Source organism: Homo sapiens, chromosome 3 (assembly GCF_000001405.40).
Source record: "Homo sapiens chromosome 3, GRCh38.p14 Primary Assembly".
In the NCBI taxonomy this organism is placed as follows: domain Eukaryota; kingdom Metazoa; phylum Chordata; class Mammalia; order Primates; family Hominidae; genus Homo; species Homo sapiens.
In genome coordinates this window covers 51,170,468-51,188,614 of record NC_000003.12, presented here as the reverse complement: position 1 = coordinate 51,188,614, position 18,147 = coordinate 51,170,468, and the positions used below count along the sequence as shown (strand labels likewise).

At 40.2% G+C, this 18,147-nt stretch overlaps 1 protein-coding gene across 24 annotated transcripts in view; it reads right to left on the bottom strand.

Moving 5' to 3' along the window:
- Positions 1–18,147, bottom strand: part of DOCK3 (dedicator of cytokinesis 3) — a 709,272-nt gene that overhangs the window by 195,584 nt on the left and 495,541 nt on the right. Inside the window, exon 1 of one of the 24 annotated variants that reach the window (XM_047447606.1) lies at positions 13,859–14,087. The exons of the other annotated variants lie outside the window; for them this stretch is intronic. The gene's annotated coding sequence lies outside the window, so the exon portion shown is untranslated. Of the gene's footprint in view, positions 1–13,858; positions 14,088–18,147 lie in introns of those variants that run through there. 24 annotated transcript variants of the gene reach the window in all.

Sequence of the window (18,147 nt, the reverse complement as noted above, 5' to 3'; positions counted from 1 at the left end):
ACAGAAGCTGGGAAGAGTGAGTAGCAGGGAGGAAGCTGATGAAGACAACTGGATTAAAGGATACAAACACACAGTAAGGAGGATAAAATTCAATGTTTGAGAGTTGAGTAGATTCACTATATTTAACAAAAATGTATTGTACTTGCGTGGTGGACACCCTAAATACCCTGACTTGACCACTATGCATTATATACATGTAACGAAATCCCTCATGTACCTCATACATTTGTAGAAATAAAATAAAACCTACATCATCTTAAAAAACAATTACTATGTTTAACCTATGCTGTCTTCAGTGAAACCTACTTAAATAAGTAATATTGTTTTAGCCTTACAATGTTTAGCATATTTAATAAACTTCATTTACTCTTAGAATAACATTAATTCTCTGCTTTCCACTTCGTACTAATGTGCCTCCAAGATATGAGGGCATCTCATGAAGAAATTTTAAAAAGTGAAAATAGTTTAAAATACAAATGAGAAAAAAGGAGCACAAAAGACTATGTTGAGCATTTCTCTAGGGAACAGATAAAGAAAGGAAGGCTCCGTTGTTCATCCTGAGTCTAGCTCTTTCCTCTAATAGCTTATAAGTCACTAATGCCCACTCTGCCCACGTTATCTACCACAATCATATTACATGAAGGCACATCTTGAGAAATCATTCTGTACCATAGTCACTGTATTAGTCTGTTTTCACACTGCTGATAAAGACATACCCCAAACTGGGCAATTTACAAAAGAAAGAGGTTAATTGGACTCACAGTTTCATGTGGCTGGGGAGGCCTCACAATCACGGTGGAAGGCAAGAAGGAGCAAGTCATATCTTACAAGTATGGCAGCAGGCAAAAAAAAAAAAAAAAAAAGCTTGTGCAGAGAAACTCCCGTTTTTTAAAACCATCAGATCTCAAGAGACCCATTCATGAGAACAGCACAAGAAAGACCTGCCCCCATGATTCAATCATCTCCCACCGGGTCCCTCCCACAATATGTGGGAATTATGAGAGCTACAAGATGAGATTTGGGTGGGGACACAGAGCCAAACCATATCATTCTACCCTTGGCTCCTCCAAAATCTCATATCTTCACATTTCAAAACCACCCATGCCATCCCAACAGTCCCCCAAAGTCTCAACTCATTTTAGCATTAACTCAAAAGTCCACAGCCCAAGGTCTCATCTCTGCCAAAGCAAGTCCCTTCCACCTATGAGTCTGTAAAATCACAAGCAAGTTAGTCACTTCCTAGATATAATGGGGGTACAGGCTTTGGGTAAATACAGCCATTCCAAATGGTAGACTTTGGCCAAAACAAAGGGGCTACAGGCCCCATGCAAGTCTGAAATCCAGTGAGGCAGTCAAATCTTACAGCTCCAAAATGATCTCCTTTGACTTCATGTCTCACATCCAGGTCACGCTGATGCAAGAGGTAGGTTCCCATAGTCTTGGGCAGCTCCACCCACTGTGGCTTTGCAGGGTATAGCCCCTCTCCTGGCTGCTTTCACAGGCTGGTGTTGAGCATCTGTGGCTTTTCCAGGAGCAGGGTGCAAGCTGTCTGTGGATCTACCATTCTGGGGTCTGGAGGATGGTGGCCCTCTTCTCACAGCTCCACTAGGCAGTGCCTCAGTAGGGACTCTGTGTGGGGGCTCTGAACCTACATTTCCCTTCTGCACTGCCCTAGCAGAGGTTCTCCATGAGAGCCCTGCCCCTGAAGCAAACTTCTGCCTGGGCATCCAGGCATTTCCATACATCCTCTGAAATCCAGGTGGAGGTTCCCAAACCCCAATTCTTGACTTCTGTGCGCTGGCAGGCTCAACACCATGTGGAAGCTGCCAAGGCTTGAGGCTTGCATCCTTTGAAGCCACGGCCCAAGGTTTACATTGGCCCCTTTCAGCCACAGCTGGAGCAGCTGAGATGCAGGGCACCAAGGCTAGGTGCCCTAGGCTGCACACAGTGTGGGGAACCCTGGACCTGGCCCACGAAACCACTTTTTCCTCCTAGGCCTCTAGGCCTGTGATGGGAGGGGCTGCCATGAAGATCTCTGACATGCCCTGGAGACATTTTCCCCATTGTCTTGGGGATTAACATTCAGCTCCTCATTACTTATGCAAATTTATGCAGCCAGCTTGAATTTCTCCTCAGAGAATGTAATTTTCTTTTCTATTGCATTGTTAGGCTGCGAATTTTCCAAGCTTTTGTGCTCTGCTTCCCTTATAAAACTGAATGCCTTTAACAGCACCCAAGTCACATCTTGAATGCTTTGCTGCTTAGAAATTTCCTCCACCAGATACCCTAAATTATCTCTCTCAAGTTCAATGTTCCACAAATCTCTATGACAGGGGCAAAAGGCTGCTGGTCTCTTTGCTAAAACATAACAAAAGTCATCTTTGCTCCAGTTACCAACAAGGTCCTCATTTCCATCTGATACCAACTCAGCCTGGACCTTATTGTCCATATCACTATCAGCATTTTGAGCACAGCCATTCAACAAGTCTACAGGAAGTTTCAAACTTTCCCGCATTTTCCTGTCTTCTTCTGAGCCCTCCAAACTGTTCCTCTGCCTGTTACCCAGTTTCAAAGTTGCTTCCACATTTTTAGGTATCTTTTCAGCAGTGCCCGACTCTACTGGTACCAATTTATTGTATTACTCCATTTTCACACTGCTGACAAAGACATACCCAAAACTAGGCAATATACAAAACAAAGAGGTTTAACTGGACTCACAGTTACACATGGCTGGGGAGGCCTCACAATCATGGTGGAAGGCAAGGAGGAGCAAATCACATCTTACATGTATGCATGTATGCAGCAAGCAAAAAAAAGGGCTTGTGCAGAGAAGTTCCCTTTTTTTAAAACCATCAGATCTCATGAGACCCATTCACTATCATGAGAACAGCATGGGAAAGACCCGCCCCCATGATTCAATTATCTCCCACCAGGTCCCTCCCACAACACATGGGAATTATGGGAGCTACAAGATGAGATTTGGGTGGGGACACAGAGCCAAGCCATATCAGTTACCCTGAGAGAGAGAACATGCAGTTAGCTGACACTTAGAAGCTTTACTATCTTAGAACAAGAAAGCAAAGCCTCAAAATATACAATGGAAACTCTGAACGTACATTTTGTTTGATCTTTACAGAGTTCATTACTTGGTGCTTGCAGGCTACTTATTAAATGCCTACTTGACCATTATATTTAAGAAAGGGACCTCTGCTCCTTAGTACAGAAAGAATGTTGGACATTCTTTTCCTATTTATTTGCACTCTTTATAAGAATTTTAGAGTCACAGAAAAATTGCAAAGATATTATAGAGAGGTCCCACATATCCTGCACCCAATTTCTCCTATTATTAACACTTTATTTTATTGTACATTTGTCATAATTAATGAACCAATACTGATAATTTACTATTAGTTAAGTCCATACTTTATTCAAATTTTTCAGATTTTCTTAGTTTTAACCTAGTATCTTTTTTCTGCTCCAAGATCTCATCCAGGTACCATATTACATTGAGGTATCATGTCTCGTTAGGTTTCTCTTGACTGTGACAGTTTCTCAAACTTTTCTCATTTTAGGTAAAATTGACAGTTTTGAGAAGTAATAATCAGGTATTTTGTAGAGTTTTCAGGTGGGATTGTTCCCATATTTTTTCCATGATTAGAAGTAATGTGTTTTGAGGAGGAAGATCACAGAGATGAAGTCTCAGTCTCATCATATCATATCAAGGGTACATACTATCAGCATGACTTTTGCCTGCTGATGTTATCCCTGATTATCTGGTTGAAGTAGTGCTTGTCAGGTTTCTTCACTGTAGTTTCCCTCAGCCCCCTTTCCACATTGTTATTTTTAGAAAGAGTTCAGTACGCACATCTCACACTTAAGGAGTGGGGAATTATGCTCCACCTCCTTGATGGCTGAGTATCTATATGCATACGTTACTTGAAATTCTTCTACATAAGAGATTTGTTTCTTCTCCCTCAGTTATTTATTCCATCATATTTATTCAAGTATCAACTCACGGATATTTATCTTATACTTTGGGTTAAAATTCAGTAACTTTTTTTTTTTTGGCTAAAATTGTTCCAATTTTGGCCATTGGAAGTTCTTTCAGTTAGCTTCAATGTTCCTTTGATATACTCCCACCACTGTGGATCTTCTAAAATTTTAAAAAAATTTTGAGCATGTCTTTGCTTTCTGGCACTTTCTGCTTCAGGATCATTTTGTATATTACCTACTCTAGTCCTAGACTCAGCCATTTATCTAAAGAGCCCTGGTTTTTTTTCTTTCTTTTTTTTTTTTTTGTTTCAAAGCAGACTTTTGCTCTTGTTGCCCAGGCTGGAGTGCAATGGCACGATCTTGGCTCACTGCAATTTCTGCCTCCCAGGTACAAGCGATTCTCCTGCCTCAGCCTCCTGAGTAGCTGGGATTACAGGCACCTGCCACCTTGGCCGGCTAATTTTTGTTATTTTTAGTGGAGACGGGGTTTTGCCATGTTGGCCAGGCTGCTCTCGAACTCCTGACCTCAGGTAATCTGCCCACCTTGGCCTCCCAAAGTGCTGGAATTACAGGCATGAGACACCACCCCGGCCTGTATTTTTTTGTTTGTTTGAAAATGATATTAGAAACCAAGATCTAGGCTCTAGGTATGGTCATTGCAATTGGAGTGCTTCCTGTAGGCCCTCTCAGCTGACAAAGTGAGGAAATATTTGTATGTATACTAATGTATGTATGTGAACATATTTAAAATCTTTTAATATGTAACTGTATGTGCCTATATTAAGCTAGGCATGAGTTTATACAATGTCTCCAACCCTACCCCACTGCTGTGTGAGGCATTCCAATCTATAACCCTTGCTTATGTATAACCTCCTATTCTAAGAATGAGTAGGAGCCTGGTATAAACTGCTCCTTCGTGTTTAATTCTTGTGAAACTTTATTTTTACTTCTATTTTATCATTTATTTATCTTGTATTATAATTAATTTATGTTTGGTTTTCCCAATCAGACCATTAACTCCTTGAAGGTTTGGATGATGTCTTTAATTGCAGAATATTAAAGGTAAAAGGAATTTTAGAAATCTAGAGGAGAAAACAATACATACCATTTAGACCCTATAGGGATCTGAGTCTCAGCTCCCTGATGTACAGCCCAAAGTCCCTCTTACTATTCCTCTTCCTCTCACTCTTCCCCCCACCCCCAACCATTTCAAGATAGCTCTTCTTCTCACTCTTGATGAGAATGAGTAAAAATGCCACTGGTATCTCACCATTCCTTCACACTTTAATACACCCAGAAACCAAAGAATGGGTTAGTATACACTTAATTTTTACAATGTTAGGCACATGCAATCAACCATGAATAAGTAAATGAAAATGTTTATACTTTCACAAAGCAGATTTGATTTCCTCAAGTATTTAATTTCATATCAGAGGACAATGCTTAATCAATGTCTAATCAATACTCAAAGGTAGAAATGAACTACTTTAATTCATTTTATTTCAAGTATACAAAGGGCCACACAGGAAGTGGCAGATGGAGAAAGTCTGGGAATTAGGGTTCATGCCTTATGAACCTGGCAGACTTAAGTTAGCCAGATGTCAATGAGGAAACCAGATGCATACATTTGTCTGTGAGCCAGGATTAGTATAAAAACTGTACTCAGAGAGGAAATAGGAATGGGCTGTTTGCTGATCAAGTTCTCACTGAAGGTACACCACCAATTCCGCAGAAATTAAAAGCATGAGTTACAGAGCTGGAGAAACAATTCTGCTTCTGTCTATAAAAGCTTTTTTGGAACTGACTGAAAAATCAAGTAAGTAACTCCTTGAGAATTTTAGAGAGCATCTGTTGGCAGGAGAAACATTATCACAATCTTCACTATAGCTTAACATCCAGGGCAATAAAGATCAAAACCTCTCATTACACCATTTGGAGGAGTCTCCACTTCTCAGTTGGTTTAAAAGCCTAATACATTATAATAATCAATAAGAAAAACTTCAAGGTGAAATATGAAGGTTTCAAAGAATACTACTTCCTCCAAGTACCTATTTCTCTATTAGCAAGAAAAGCAGCAGCTAGAGGCAAAGAAAGACCAGTGGCTTCTTATGGGGAACCTGATTATGGCAGGAGGTCCTCTCTGGAGAGCAAGGAATAAATACACTCAATAGCACCTCCAGGATGGAAACCCCCAGGGAATAAGTCTGATACCTTAGAGTATTATGGCAAAAACCACAATTACTTTTGCACCAACCTAATAGCAGCAACTGGCCCTTCCTAATCGGCCAGGTACCATACCAAGGGCTTTACCTATATTGACTCATTTGATCTTCACTGCAACCCAACAAGATAGATATTGTTAACGATGAGAAAACTGAGGGATAGAGAGACTAAAACCCTTGCCCGAGGTCATACAACCTATAATATGGTGGGGCCAAGATTCAAACATAGGCAGTTTAACTCTGGAATCTGTACCTTTAACTATGCTAGCTCTACTGGGAAGGCACCTACCTCTCTGTGACTACTAAGTAAAAGCAAATCCACCCTTATCCCAGAGCAGGGAGTTAAAAAAACAGACTTTGCTTTTTATACTCTTTCTACAAAAAATTTTTTTAACAACAGTGAATGGATATAAAAGATAATTTATAAAATGCATAAGAAGTCCTGTCCTCACACCAGCAGAACTGGCATCAACAGTGAACTTGTTAGAAATGGAAATTGTTGGGCCCCATCCCAATCTACTACATTAGACACCCCACGGGGTGCCATCCAGCACTGTTTTAACAAGCCCTCTACTGATAAAATACTGGTATCATGAACACCTGTGTACTCACTGCTCCTGTTAGAAAAAAAACATTCTATCACCTCTGAAGTTCCTCTTCAATCCCGCATCCTTCTCTCTCAGGAACTCCTCAGAGGTAATCACTATCCTGAATTTTGTGGTTATCACTTGTTTTCCTCCATAACTTTCTCATGTTTTGAATCCACAATAAATATACTGTTTATATGTTATTAAATAGGCTATTATGCCTTTCTGAATAAGGTCCTTACAGCAGTTAAAAGGAAATACATTAAAAATTACCTTTTTATTTATAAAAATTTCAACTATTTCTCATATACACCATGGAATACCATGCAGCCATAAAAAAGGATGAGTTCATGTCCTTTGTAGGGACATGGATGAAGCTGGAAACCATCATTCTCAGCAAACTATCGCAAGAACAAAAAACCAAACACCGCATGTTCTCACTCATAGCTGGGAATTGAACAATGAGAACACTTGGACACAGGAAGGGGAACATCATACACCAGGGCCTGTTGTGGGGTGGGGGGAGGGGGGAGGGAAAGCATTAGGAGATATACCTAATATAAATGACGAGTTAACAGGTACAGCACACCAACATGGCACATGTATACATATGTAACAAACCTGCACGTTGTGCCCATGTACCCTAGAACTTAAAGTATAATTTAAAAAAAATTAAAGCTATTTCTTCTTTTACAACTTGTACATGTTTACTTTAATAGTCAATTAAAATAAAGACAAATAGCCTGTACGTGTATATACATGTAATTATAGCAATTTAGCAGAAACATTTATTTTTTCTCCTCCTTCCAGGTTTCTGTAACACTGAGGGCCTTTCTGTCCATTCACTCACCTTACTGGGAGAAGTAGTAACTTCTCTGGTCAGTGCATCTAGAACGACCTATGCATGAACATCTCAGTTCTGCCTCTTCCCTCCTTTGGACTAACCTCCTTGCAGAGAGCACACAATCTCTCCACCACAAGGCTCCACATTGACACTGATTTTAAAGGTCTTTCTAATTAAGGGTTCATGTTAATCACAAGTTGTAATGGGTTGAATGGTAGCCCCCACAAAGATATGTCCTTATTTTAATCCCCAGAACCTGTGAATGTTACCTTATTTGGAAAAAGGGTCTTTGCAGATGTAATTAAATTAAGGATTTTGAGATAAGGAGATTATCCTGGATTATCTGGGTGGGCCCTAAATCCAATGACAAATATCCTTATAGGACAAAGGCAGAGGGAGATTTAAGACAAACAGAAGAGAAGACAATAACGTGAAAAAGAAGCAGACAGGAGTGATGTGGTCCCATCCAGGCATGTTGGCAGCCAGAAGTTGGAAGAGGCAAACAATACATTCTTCCCTACAACCTCCAGAGCGAGTGCAGTTGTGCTGACATCTTGATTTCAGACTTCTGGCTTCCAAAACTGTGAGAATGAATTTCTGTTGTTTTAAGCCACCAAATTTGTGATATGCTACAGAAGCCACAGAAAACTAACACACAAGTCCACATGGCTCATAAATCTAAACCATGATCTCAAATTCAAGTTTGGTTGCTAAAAAGGTGGCACTTGTGTGTGTGTGTGTGTTTTTTTTTTTTTTTTTTTGAGACAGGGTCTCGAGCTGTCACCCAGGCTGGAGCACAGTGGCGTGATCTCGGCTCACTGCAACCTCTGCTTCCTGAGTTCAAGCGATTCTCCTGCCTCAGCCTTGTGAGTAGCTGGGATAACAGGTGCCGGCCACCACGCCTGGCTAATGTTTGTATTTTTGGTAGAGATGGGGTTTTGCCATGTTGGCCAGGCTGGTCTTGAACTCCTGACCTCAAATGATCCACCCACCTCGGCCTCCCAAAGTGCTGGGATTACAGGCATGAGACACCGCGTCCGCCGGCCCTTGTTTTTTTTGAGACAAGGTCTCGTTCTGTTGCCCAAGCTGAGTGCAGTGCCATAATCATGGCTCACTGCAGCCTTGAACTTCCAGGCTCAAGCAATCATCTGACCTCAGCCTCCAAAAGAGCTAGGACTACAGGCATGCACCACCAAGCCCGGCTAATTTTTTATTTTTTGTAGAGATGGGGATCCTCACTATGTTGCCCAGGCTGGTCCTGAATTCCTGGACTCAAGTAATCCTCCTGCCCCCTTGGCTTCCCAAAGTGCTGGTATTACAGGCAAAGGTGGCACTTTTATCCACACTACTTACATGTATACGCACATTAGATATTTATATTTATGCTATTCTACATTGTATGTCTATTTTTATCTATACCTGCTTTACATCTACATTTTTATTTGTTTTGATCTCAGCTAGGGAGATCTATGATATCCATTAGGCCTCCTAATGGCAATGAATAACATTCTTAGTTTACTCGAAATTGTTAAATAATTGAGAATGAGGGCAAATGGCAATGAATAACATTCTTAGTTTACTAACTTGAAATTGTTAAATAATTGAGAATGAAGGTTGACCTTTGTCAAATACTTTTTTGATATTAGGATGACTATGGTATTCCACCTTTGGATGACTGGTATGATGCATTGTATAATAACTGCACTGGGATCAGAGAGTAAGGGCTATGCAATTTCTGCCTTATGAAAATTATAGAAGTTTTTCCTATGAACAATTTTTGTAAATGTTTCACAAGCAATGGAAAAGATGTGTTCTGTTTGTTGGACAAAAAAATGTGTTTACAGCTGGGAGGACAATATGGCCTGGTGAGATGGAATACTCTACACCTGTTGTCCTGACATCAATACTACTCTCTTTGACTATCACAGCGTTCTGGTTATGCTCATCCTATTTAAAGGCAAGAGAGCAAGTGGTTAAAAGCATGGTCTATTAACCAGGCTGCTTAGGCACGTTCCTCCCCACTCTGTGCCTTGTTTCCTCATCTGTAAAAGAGAGAAAATAACAGCCCATGGTGAGTGCTCAATGAGTCCTTTATTATCTGTTACATCAACTTTATCCAAATTCTCTCTGTACTTATTTCTGTGTTCATATCTGTCAAGAAGCAAGTGAAAATATCTTTTTACTATACTTTTGTCTTTGCTTTTTATTTCTAGTAAGTTGACTATAACTTTGAGTCAACATTATCACATACGTTAAGGTCATGACAATTAGATCTTCACTATAAATTCCACCATGGACTGGCAAGAAATGACTCTTCTATCCCTGTGAAGAAAAAAAATGGGCTTTCTGGAACAGTAAAGAGCTGGAGGCAGAGACTCTTCCAAGGTCCCCCAGCTCTGGCTCTGCTTTCTCTTCCCAGCTAAGAAGGTGGGTATGTTAAAGCTGAATTTGGTCAGCGTTCCTTTAAACAGAAGTGCATGAACAGCATTCCTCCAGAATGGGGGTGTGAACGCTGAATTTAATGGGGTAGCAAAGAGCAACCCTCTACTTTGCAGAGATCAGGAAATCAGGGGCTGGTCCTGTTAGGGATTCTGAGGCTGAAGGAGTGGTGATGTCACATGCCATGTTTGTGCCAACCCTGAAAGGCCACTTTGCTTGCCATGAGATCATGTGTTCTTGGATGATAAAATAAGAAACTGAATTTAACCTTACAATAGGTGTATGTTCTCTTTCCATCAAACCCTGATACTCCTGACATGACACACCCATTTCATATCTTTCACCTTATACTTTATTTTTATCATTAATATTGTGACATTTGTTTTCATTGTTTGTATTTGATTATACTTAGCCTGTTTACTTTTAGTCTTTGTGAATCTCTTATTAATATCATATAGATGGATTTTGTTTGTTGACTATTTTGAGACTTTTTTTTTTTTTACTATTTTGAGTTTTTTTTTGTTTGTTTTTTGTTTTTTTGAGATGGAGTCTCTCTCTGTCATTCAGGTTGGAGTGCAGTGGCATGATCTCGGCTACTGCAATCTCTGCCTCCCAGGTTCAAGTGATTATCTTGCTTCAGCCTCCTGAGTATTTGAGACTACAGGCATGCGCCACTATGCTGAACTAATTTTTGTATTTTTAGTAGAGAGGGGGTTTCACCATGTTGGCCAGGCTGGTCTGGAACTCCTGACCTCAGATCATCTGCCTGTCTCGGCCTCCCAAAGTTCTGGGATTACAGATGTGAGCCACTGCGCCTGGCCAAGAATTTATATCTTACATATTTTTTCATCCTATTTATGTTTACTGTTGTAACTGATATGGATAGGCTTTCTCCTATGCTTTGCTCTTGGCTTCTGATTTTTAAATGCTATTTTACAGCAGCTTTTGAACTATATGGTTTGTTCTTACCTGTACCTTTGTGGGGAATAATTATACATCCTGCATTTATTTCTATGAGGGGTTACCTTTAGATTAGAAATGTCCAAATTTTTCCTATAGTTTGCCTTTAAAACAAAAAGAACGCCTAAATTTTAACTAATAGAAATACTAATGCTATTTTTGATCTAATTTATGCCTATATTATTGGTTAACAAGAAGTATGATAGCCCAACAGCAATAAAAACTAAATGCTGATCATAAAGAATAACATTTTAAAAGTAACATGTTCTGTAGAGCCTGTGATATGGTATCTATCTCTAGCATTTTTGGTTATTGTTTCTTTGTTTTGAATCATCACAGATTAAACAAAAAATTAATTTTGAAATCAAACTATGATTACTAGCATTATCTTACTCTTCCAAGAAATGTTATCAACTTGCTGAGTCACCTGCTTAACCAGGGTGTGACCATATCCTCCTCTGTAAAATGATAAAGCCTGACTGATTACAAAGGGTTAGTATGAGGTTTCAAACTGATTATATATCCAGAAGGGCCCTGAAAGTAGACAGAGTACTAAACAAATGTATACTGGCATTATTATTAAAACAGGTAGTAATTAAGATATTATTGATGGAATTAGGTAGGATTTGTAGTTTAAATGTAAAAGTGGAACTTACCAATGACCAAGAATCACTAGGAAAAAAAGACAAACCATTTTAGATGGCATGCAGCATGCCCATTATTTGAGTACACCTCATTTTCCGAACCACCAGTTGTATAATTTATTTTTTTCATCTCTTTCTTATTTGATTCACTAGTTCATAGGGGTTCTCTTTTTCTGTCTTAGATTGCCTTATTAAGTCAGCTAACAAAGCTGACTTAACAAAAGGTAACAAAGTTGAAGGTAGCAGACCTTATTAAGACTCTATGTTTGCCTACTCTTTCAGCAACCACTTTTTTTTTTTGAGACGGAGTCTCGCTCTGTTGCCCAGGCTGGAGTGCAGTGGAGCGATCTCAGCTCACTGCAAGCTCCGCCTCCTGAGTTCATGCCATTCTCCTGCCTCAGCCTCCCCAGTAGCTGGGACTACAGGCACCCGCCACCACGCTTGGCTAATTTTTTTTTTTTTTTTATTTTTTAGTAGAGACGGGGTTTCACCATGTTAGCCAGAACAGTCTTGATCTCCTGACCTCGTGGTCTGCCTGCCTTCGGCCTCCCAAAGTGCTAGGATTACAGGCGTGAGCCACCACGCCTGGCCAGCAACCATTCTTTCATGCCATTCTTTTTGGAGGAGGAGCAGAAGAAAAAAAGAAAGGAAGAGAATACAGATTTGTTTTCCAATCCTACGGCAGAAAATACTTGGGACCTAAGGTACCAACACTGGAATCTGTGTTAAAGACTCCTGTTGTTAATTTCTCACTCCTGCATAAACAAGAGTCACCCTGAACTCACTTTCTTCACTCTGGCTCATTATTTAATGAATTATGTTTTGCAGCAGAAATAATATACAAACAAATCCAATTGTGTACTGAGGCTACAGATAGTGGCAACTGAAAGTCAAAATAGAGCAGTTCTATGGTCACAGACTTATTTGAGTCTTCCTCGTATGACTTAGCAGACATTTGTTGCACATGTTCAAACAATGCATGTCTGAACACTGTTTGATAATGGACATGGCAGATAATGGTCCTGGATAGATGAAGATCCATGGAAAATGGGAAGGTCTAGACAAGGAGAGAGAAATTTGAGCACTTCCTTACCTGACTTATAAGTAGGAAGCAGTACTTTCATTTAAAGTTATTATATACAAAGACCAGAACCTTCTTTTCTCTGTACCAAAAGGAGGATGGCCCCCACTCCCATCTATACCCCTGGAAGCATACCTATAGATCTTGATCTCACTGCAAATCTTAAAGTAGCCTGCAAATCCAATTCTAGCCCCTCCCAACTGCAGTGCAGGAGAAGTCCTACCCATCCAGGGACCTGCTGGGAGATACATCTGTCTATACCTCTGGAGGCAGACCTGCAGACCTCAGTCTGACTGAAGATTTTAAAGGGGCCTTGTAACCTGGCTCCAGCTTTTCCCAGCCACAGTCCAGGCATAGTTCTGCCCACTCAGGATCCACTGAGAAACATGACCATCTGTGTCTCTGGAGGCAGACCTGCAGACCTTTGTCTGACTGTGGATCTTGAAATGGCCCTGTAACCCAGATCCAGTCCCTCCTAGCCACAGTCTGAGTGGTCTTGCATTCCCAGTAACTCAAGAGAGACACACCTGTCTAGAGGCAGGACCACTAAACTTAGTCTGACTTTGGATCTTAAAGTGGCCTGATAACCTGCCTCTAGCCCCTCTCAGCCATGGTCTAGGAGCAGTCCCGCCCACCCAGGGACCCAAGGGAGAAACACCTATCTGTGCCACTGGAGGCAAGCCTGAAGACCTTGGTCCCTGAAGCAGCCCTGTGTCTCATTTCAAGCATGACTCAGCTGAGGTCTGGGGCTAGTCCTGCCTGCCCAGGAACCCACCCAGTGACCTGGCAGGAGCATTCTCAGGGAATCAGTGGGAGCCACAACAGTCTGTACATCTGTAACTGGCCTGCCACTTGAGCAACCAACTGGGGCACCTTGCCTCAGCTCTATTGACCAAGGTCCTGAAGGCAGTCCAGGCTACTCAGGGACCTGACAGGATCCACACTCACCTGAACTCCTGGAAAGAGGCCCACCAACTTCAGACTCCATTGTGAAACCAACAGAAGTCATATGACCTGATTTCAACCTTGCCCAAATGTGATATGAGAAGTATTCCCATTAGTCTGGGGACATAAGAGAAACTCCTTACCTGCCAAAACCAGTCTTGCTTTTTCACAGGCACTGACATTAACACAAAGCGACCTGGATCATGAAGAATCATGCAAACATGACACCACCAAAAGCAACCGATGAAGCTCCAATAAATGACCCTAAAGAAGTGGAGATCTATGAATTTCTTAATGAAGAGTTCAAAATAATCATCTTAAAGAAGCTTAATGAGATGCAAGAGAACAGATAGATAACTAAAAGAAATCAGGAAATAATGCATGAACAAAATGAGAAGTTATTTATTTATTTATTTATTTATTTATTTTTGAGACAAGAGTCTTGCTCTGTGGCCCAGGCTGGATGTGAGTGGCATGATCTCAGCTCACTGCAACCTTCGCCTCCTGCGTTCAAGTGATTCTCATGCCTCAGCCTGCCAAGTAGCTGGGATTATAGGCACAAACCACCACACCTGGCTAATTTTTGTATTTTTTAAATTTTTTTTTAGTAGAGACAGAGTTTTGCCATGTTGGCCAGGATGGTCTTGAACTCCTGACCTCATGTGATCCGCCTAACCTCAGCCTCCCAAAGTGCTGGGATTACAGGGGTGAGCCACCATGCCCAGCCAAGAAGTTTAACAATGAAATAGAAACCATCAAAGGAACTAAAAAGATATACTGGAACTGACAAATACAATGATAGAATTGAAAAATTCAACAGAAAGCTTCGACAGCAGACTCAATCATGCAGAATAAAGAATTAGTGAACTCAAAGACAGGTCATTTGAAATTAGCCAGTTAGAGACACAAAAAGAGAAAAGAGTGAATAAAGCATATGAGACTTACGGGGCACTATGAAGATAACAAATATAAGCATTATATTTGTCCCAGAAGGAGGAAAGAAAAGGGGGAAAAATTTAAAGAAATATTGGCTGAAAATGTTCTAAATCATAGGAGAGATAAGGACATCCAGATTCATGAAGCTCAAAGGATCACAAGCAAGATCAACCCAAAGAATATGATCTTGTCAAAGTGTCAAGAGTAAAAGACAAAGATAATTTTGAAAGCAGTAAGATATAAGCAACTTGTCCCATACAAGGGAATCTCTATTAGAATATCAGAAGATTTCTCAGCAGAAACCTTGCAAACAAGAAAGTGGTATGATATATTCAGTGCTTAAAAAAAATCCCAAGAATACTTTTCCCAGCAAAGCTGCACTTCAGAAAGTAAGAAAATATAAAGATAATCTTGATGAACAAAAGCTGAGGAGGCTCATCAACACTAGACCTGCCTTTTCAGAAATACTAAAGGGAGTTCTTCAAGCTGAAATACAAGAACACTAATTAGTAACATGAAAGTATGTGAGAGTATGTAACTCAGCTGGGCACGGTGGCTTATGCCTGTAATCCTAGCACTTTGGGAGGCTGAGGCAGGCAGATCACTTGAGCCCAGGAGTTTGAGATCAGTCTGGGCAACATGGTATATGACCCAGTCTCTACAAAAAATACAACAATTAGTTGGGTGTGGTGGTATGTGCCTGTAGTCCCAGTTATTCAGTAGGCTGAGATGGGTGGATCACTTGAACCCAGGAGGTCAAGGCTTCAGTGAGCCACGATTGTACCACTGTGCTCCAGCCTGGGTGACAGGGTAAGACTATGTCTAAAAAGAAAAAAGAAAGAAAGTATAAACTCACTGGTAAAGGTAAGTATACAGTCAAAATCAGAATACTGTGATGATATAAATCACTTATATCACTAATATATAGTTTAAGAGACAAAAATATTAAGAATAGTTATTGCTACAATAATTTGTTAATGGTTACAACATGTAAATATGTAAACAGTGACATAAAAATATAAACTGGGTGGGGTAACTAAAAGTGTAGAGTTTTCACACACAATTGCTATTGTATCAACTTAAATTGTCATAACAAAAAATTATAAAATGTTTTATGTAACCTCATAGTAGGCACAGAGAAAAACCCCCAGTAGTTACACAGAAGGTGAAGACAAAAAATGAAAATGAAAGTATACCAGTATAAAAATTAAACAAATTCCAAAGAAAGACAAGCAAGAGAGGAAGGAAAAAACAAGACAAAACTACCAAACTACCAAAAAATCATAAAACTACCAAAAAAATCATAGAACAGTGAACAAAATGGCAAAAGTAACTTCTTACCTATCAATTACTTCATGTGGAATTGGACCAAATTCTCCATTCTAAAGACAGAGTAACTGAATGCATAAAAATGCAAGATCCATCAATATGCTGCCTATAAGAGACTCACCTTAGCTTCAAAAGTGAAGTGATGAAAAAAGATATTCCAGCTGGGCGTGGTAGCTCATGCCTGTAATCCCAGCACTTTGGGAGGCCAAGGCGGGCAGATGACGAGGTCAGGAGATGGAGACCATCCTGGCTAACATGGTGAAACCCCATCTCTCACTAAAAATACAAAAAATTAGCCAGGCATGGTGGCCCATGCCTGTAGTCCCAGCAACTCGGGAGGCTGAGGCAGGATAATTGCTGGAACCCGGGAGGCGGAGGTTGCAGTGAGTCGAGATTGTGCCACTGCACTCCAGCTTGGGTGAGAGAGCAAGACTATGTCTCAAAAAAAAAAAAAAGAAACGATATTCCATTCAAATATAACCAAAAGAGAGTAGGAGTGGCAATACTTAAATTAGACAAAATAGATATTCAAAATCTGTCACAAGACAAATATGGACTCTCTGTAATGATAAAGAGTGAATTCATCCAAGTATATAACAGTTGTAAATATATTTGCACCCAAAATTAGAGCATCTAAATATATAAAGCAAATATTAATAGTTCTACAGGAAGAGATATAGTACAATACAATAACAGTAGGGAACTTCAATACTTCACTTTGAAAAGCTAAGAGATCATCCAAACAGAAAATCAATAATGAAATAGCAGACTTGAGTAACAGTGTAAACCAAGTGGATCTAACAGACATATACAGAGCAACAGAGTACACATTCCTCTCAAGCACACATGCAACATTTTCCGGGATACAGCAATACAGCATTTATTAGGCCACAAAACAAGTCTTTTTTTTTTTTTTTTTGAGATGGAGTCTCGCTCTGTCGCCCAGGCTGGAGTGCAGTGGCAAGATCTCGGCTCACTGCAAGCTCTGCCTCCCGGGTTCATGCCATCTCCTGCCTCAGCCCCCTGAGTAGCTGGGACTACAGGTGCCCACCACCACACTCCGCTAATTTTTCTGTATTTTTAGTAGAGACGGGATTTCACCGTGTTAGCCAGGATGGTCGTGATCTCATGACCTCGTGATCTGCCCGCCTTGGCCTCCCAAAGTGCTGAGATTACAGGTGTGAGCCACCGCACCTGGCCCACAAAACAAATCTTAACAAATTTAAGAAGAATGAAATCTCAACTATTTTTTCTGACCACAATGGTATGAAACCAGACATCAGTAACGAGGAAAACTGAAAATTTCACAAATATGTGGAAATTAAACAACACTCTCTTGAACAACTAATGGGTCAAAGAAGGAAATTCATAATATACCTTGAGATAAATGAAAATGAAAACAAAACCTATCAAGACTTAAGGCATGCAGAAAAAGCAGTTCTCAGAGAAACATTTACAGTAATAAATGCCTACCTGCAGAAAAAAGATCTCAAATAATGTAATGTTATATCTCAAGGAACTAAAAAATAGCAAACTAAGCTCAAAGTTAACAAAAGGAAGAAAATAATGAAAGTTAGGGCAAAAATAAATGAAATAGAGACGAGAAAGACAACAGAAAAGATAAACATCGTTAACAGTTGGTTTCTTGGAAAGCTAAATTAAATTGACAAATCTTTTTTTTTTTTTTTTTTTTGAGATGGAGTCTTGCTCTGTGGCCAGGCTGGAGTGCAGTGGCACAATCTTGGCTCACTGCAATCTCTGCCTCCTGGGTTCAAGCCATTCTCCTGCCTCAGCCTCCCGAGTAGCTGGGATTACAGGTGTGTGCTACCATACCCAGCTAATTTTTGTATTTTTAGTAGAGATGGGGTTTCACCATGTTGGCCAGGATGGTCCTGATCTCCTGATCTCATGATCCGCCCGCCTTCGCCTCCCAAAGCGCTGGGATTACAGGCGTGAGCCACCGCGCCCGGCTGACAAATCTTTAGTTGAATTAACCAAGAACACAAAGAGAGAAGACTCAAATAAATAAAATTATAAATGAAAGAGGAAACATTACAACTGATACTACAGAAACACAAAGTTATCATAACAAACTTCTATGTACAATTATATGTTAAGAAATTAGATAACCTAAGAAAATGGATAAATTCCTAGAAACATACAACTT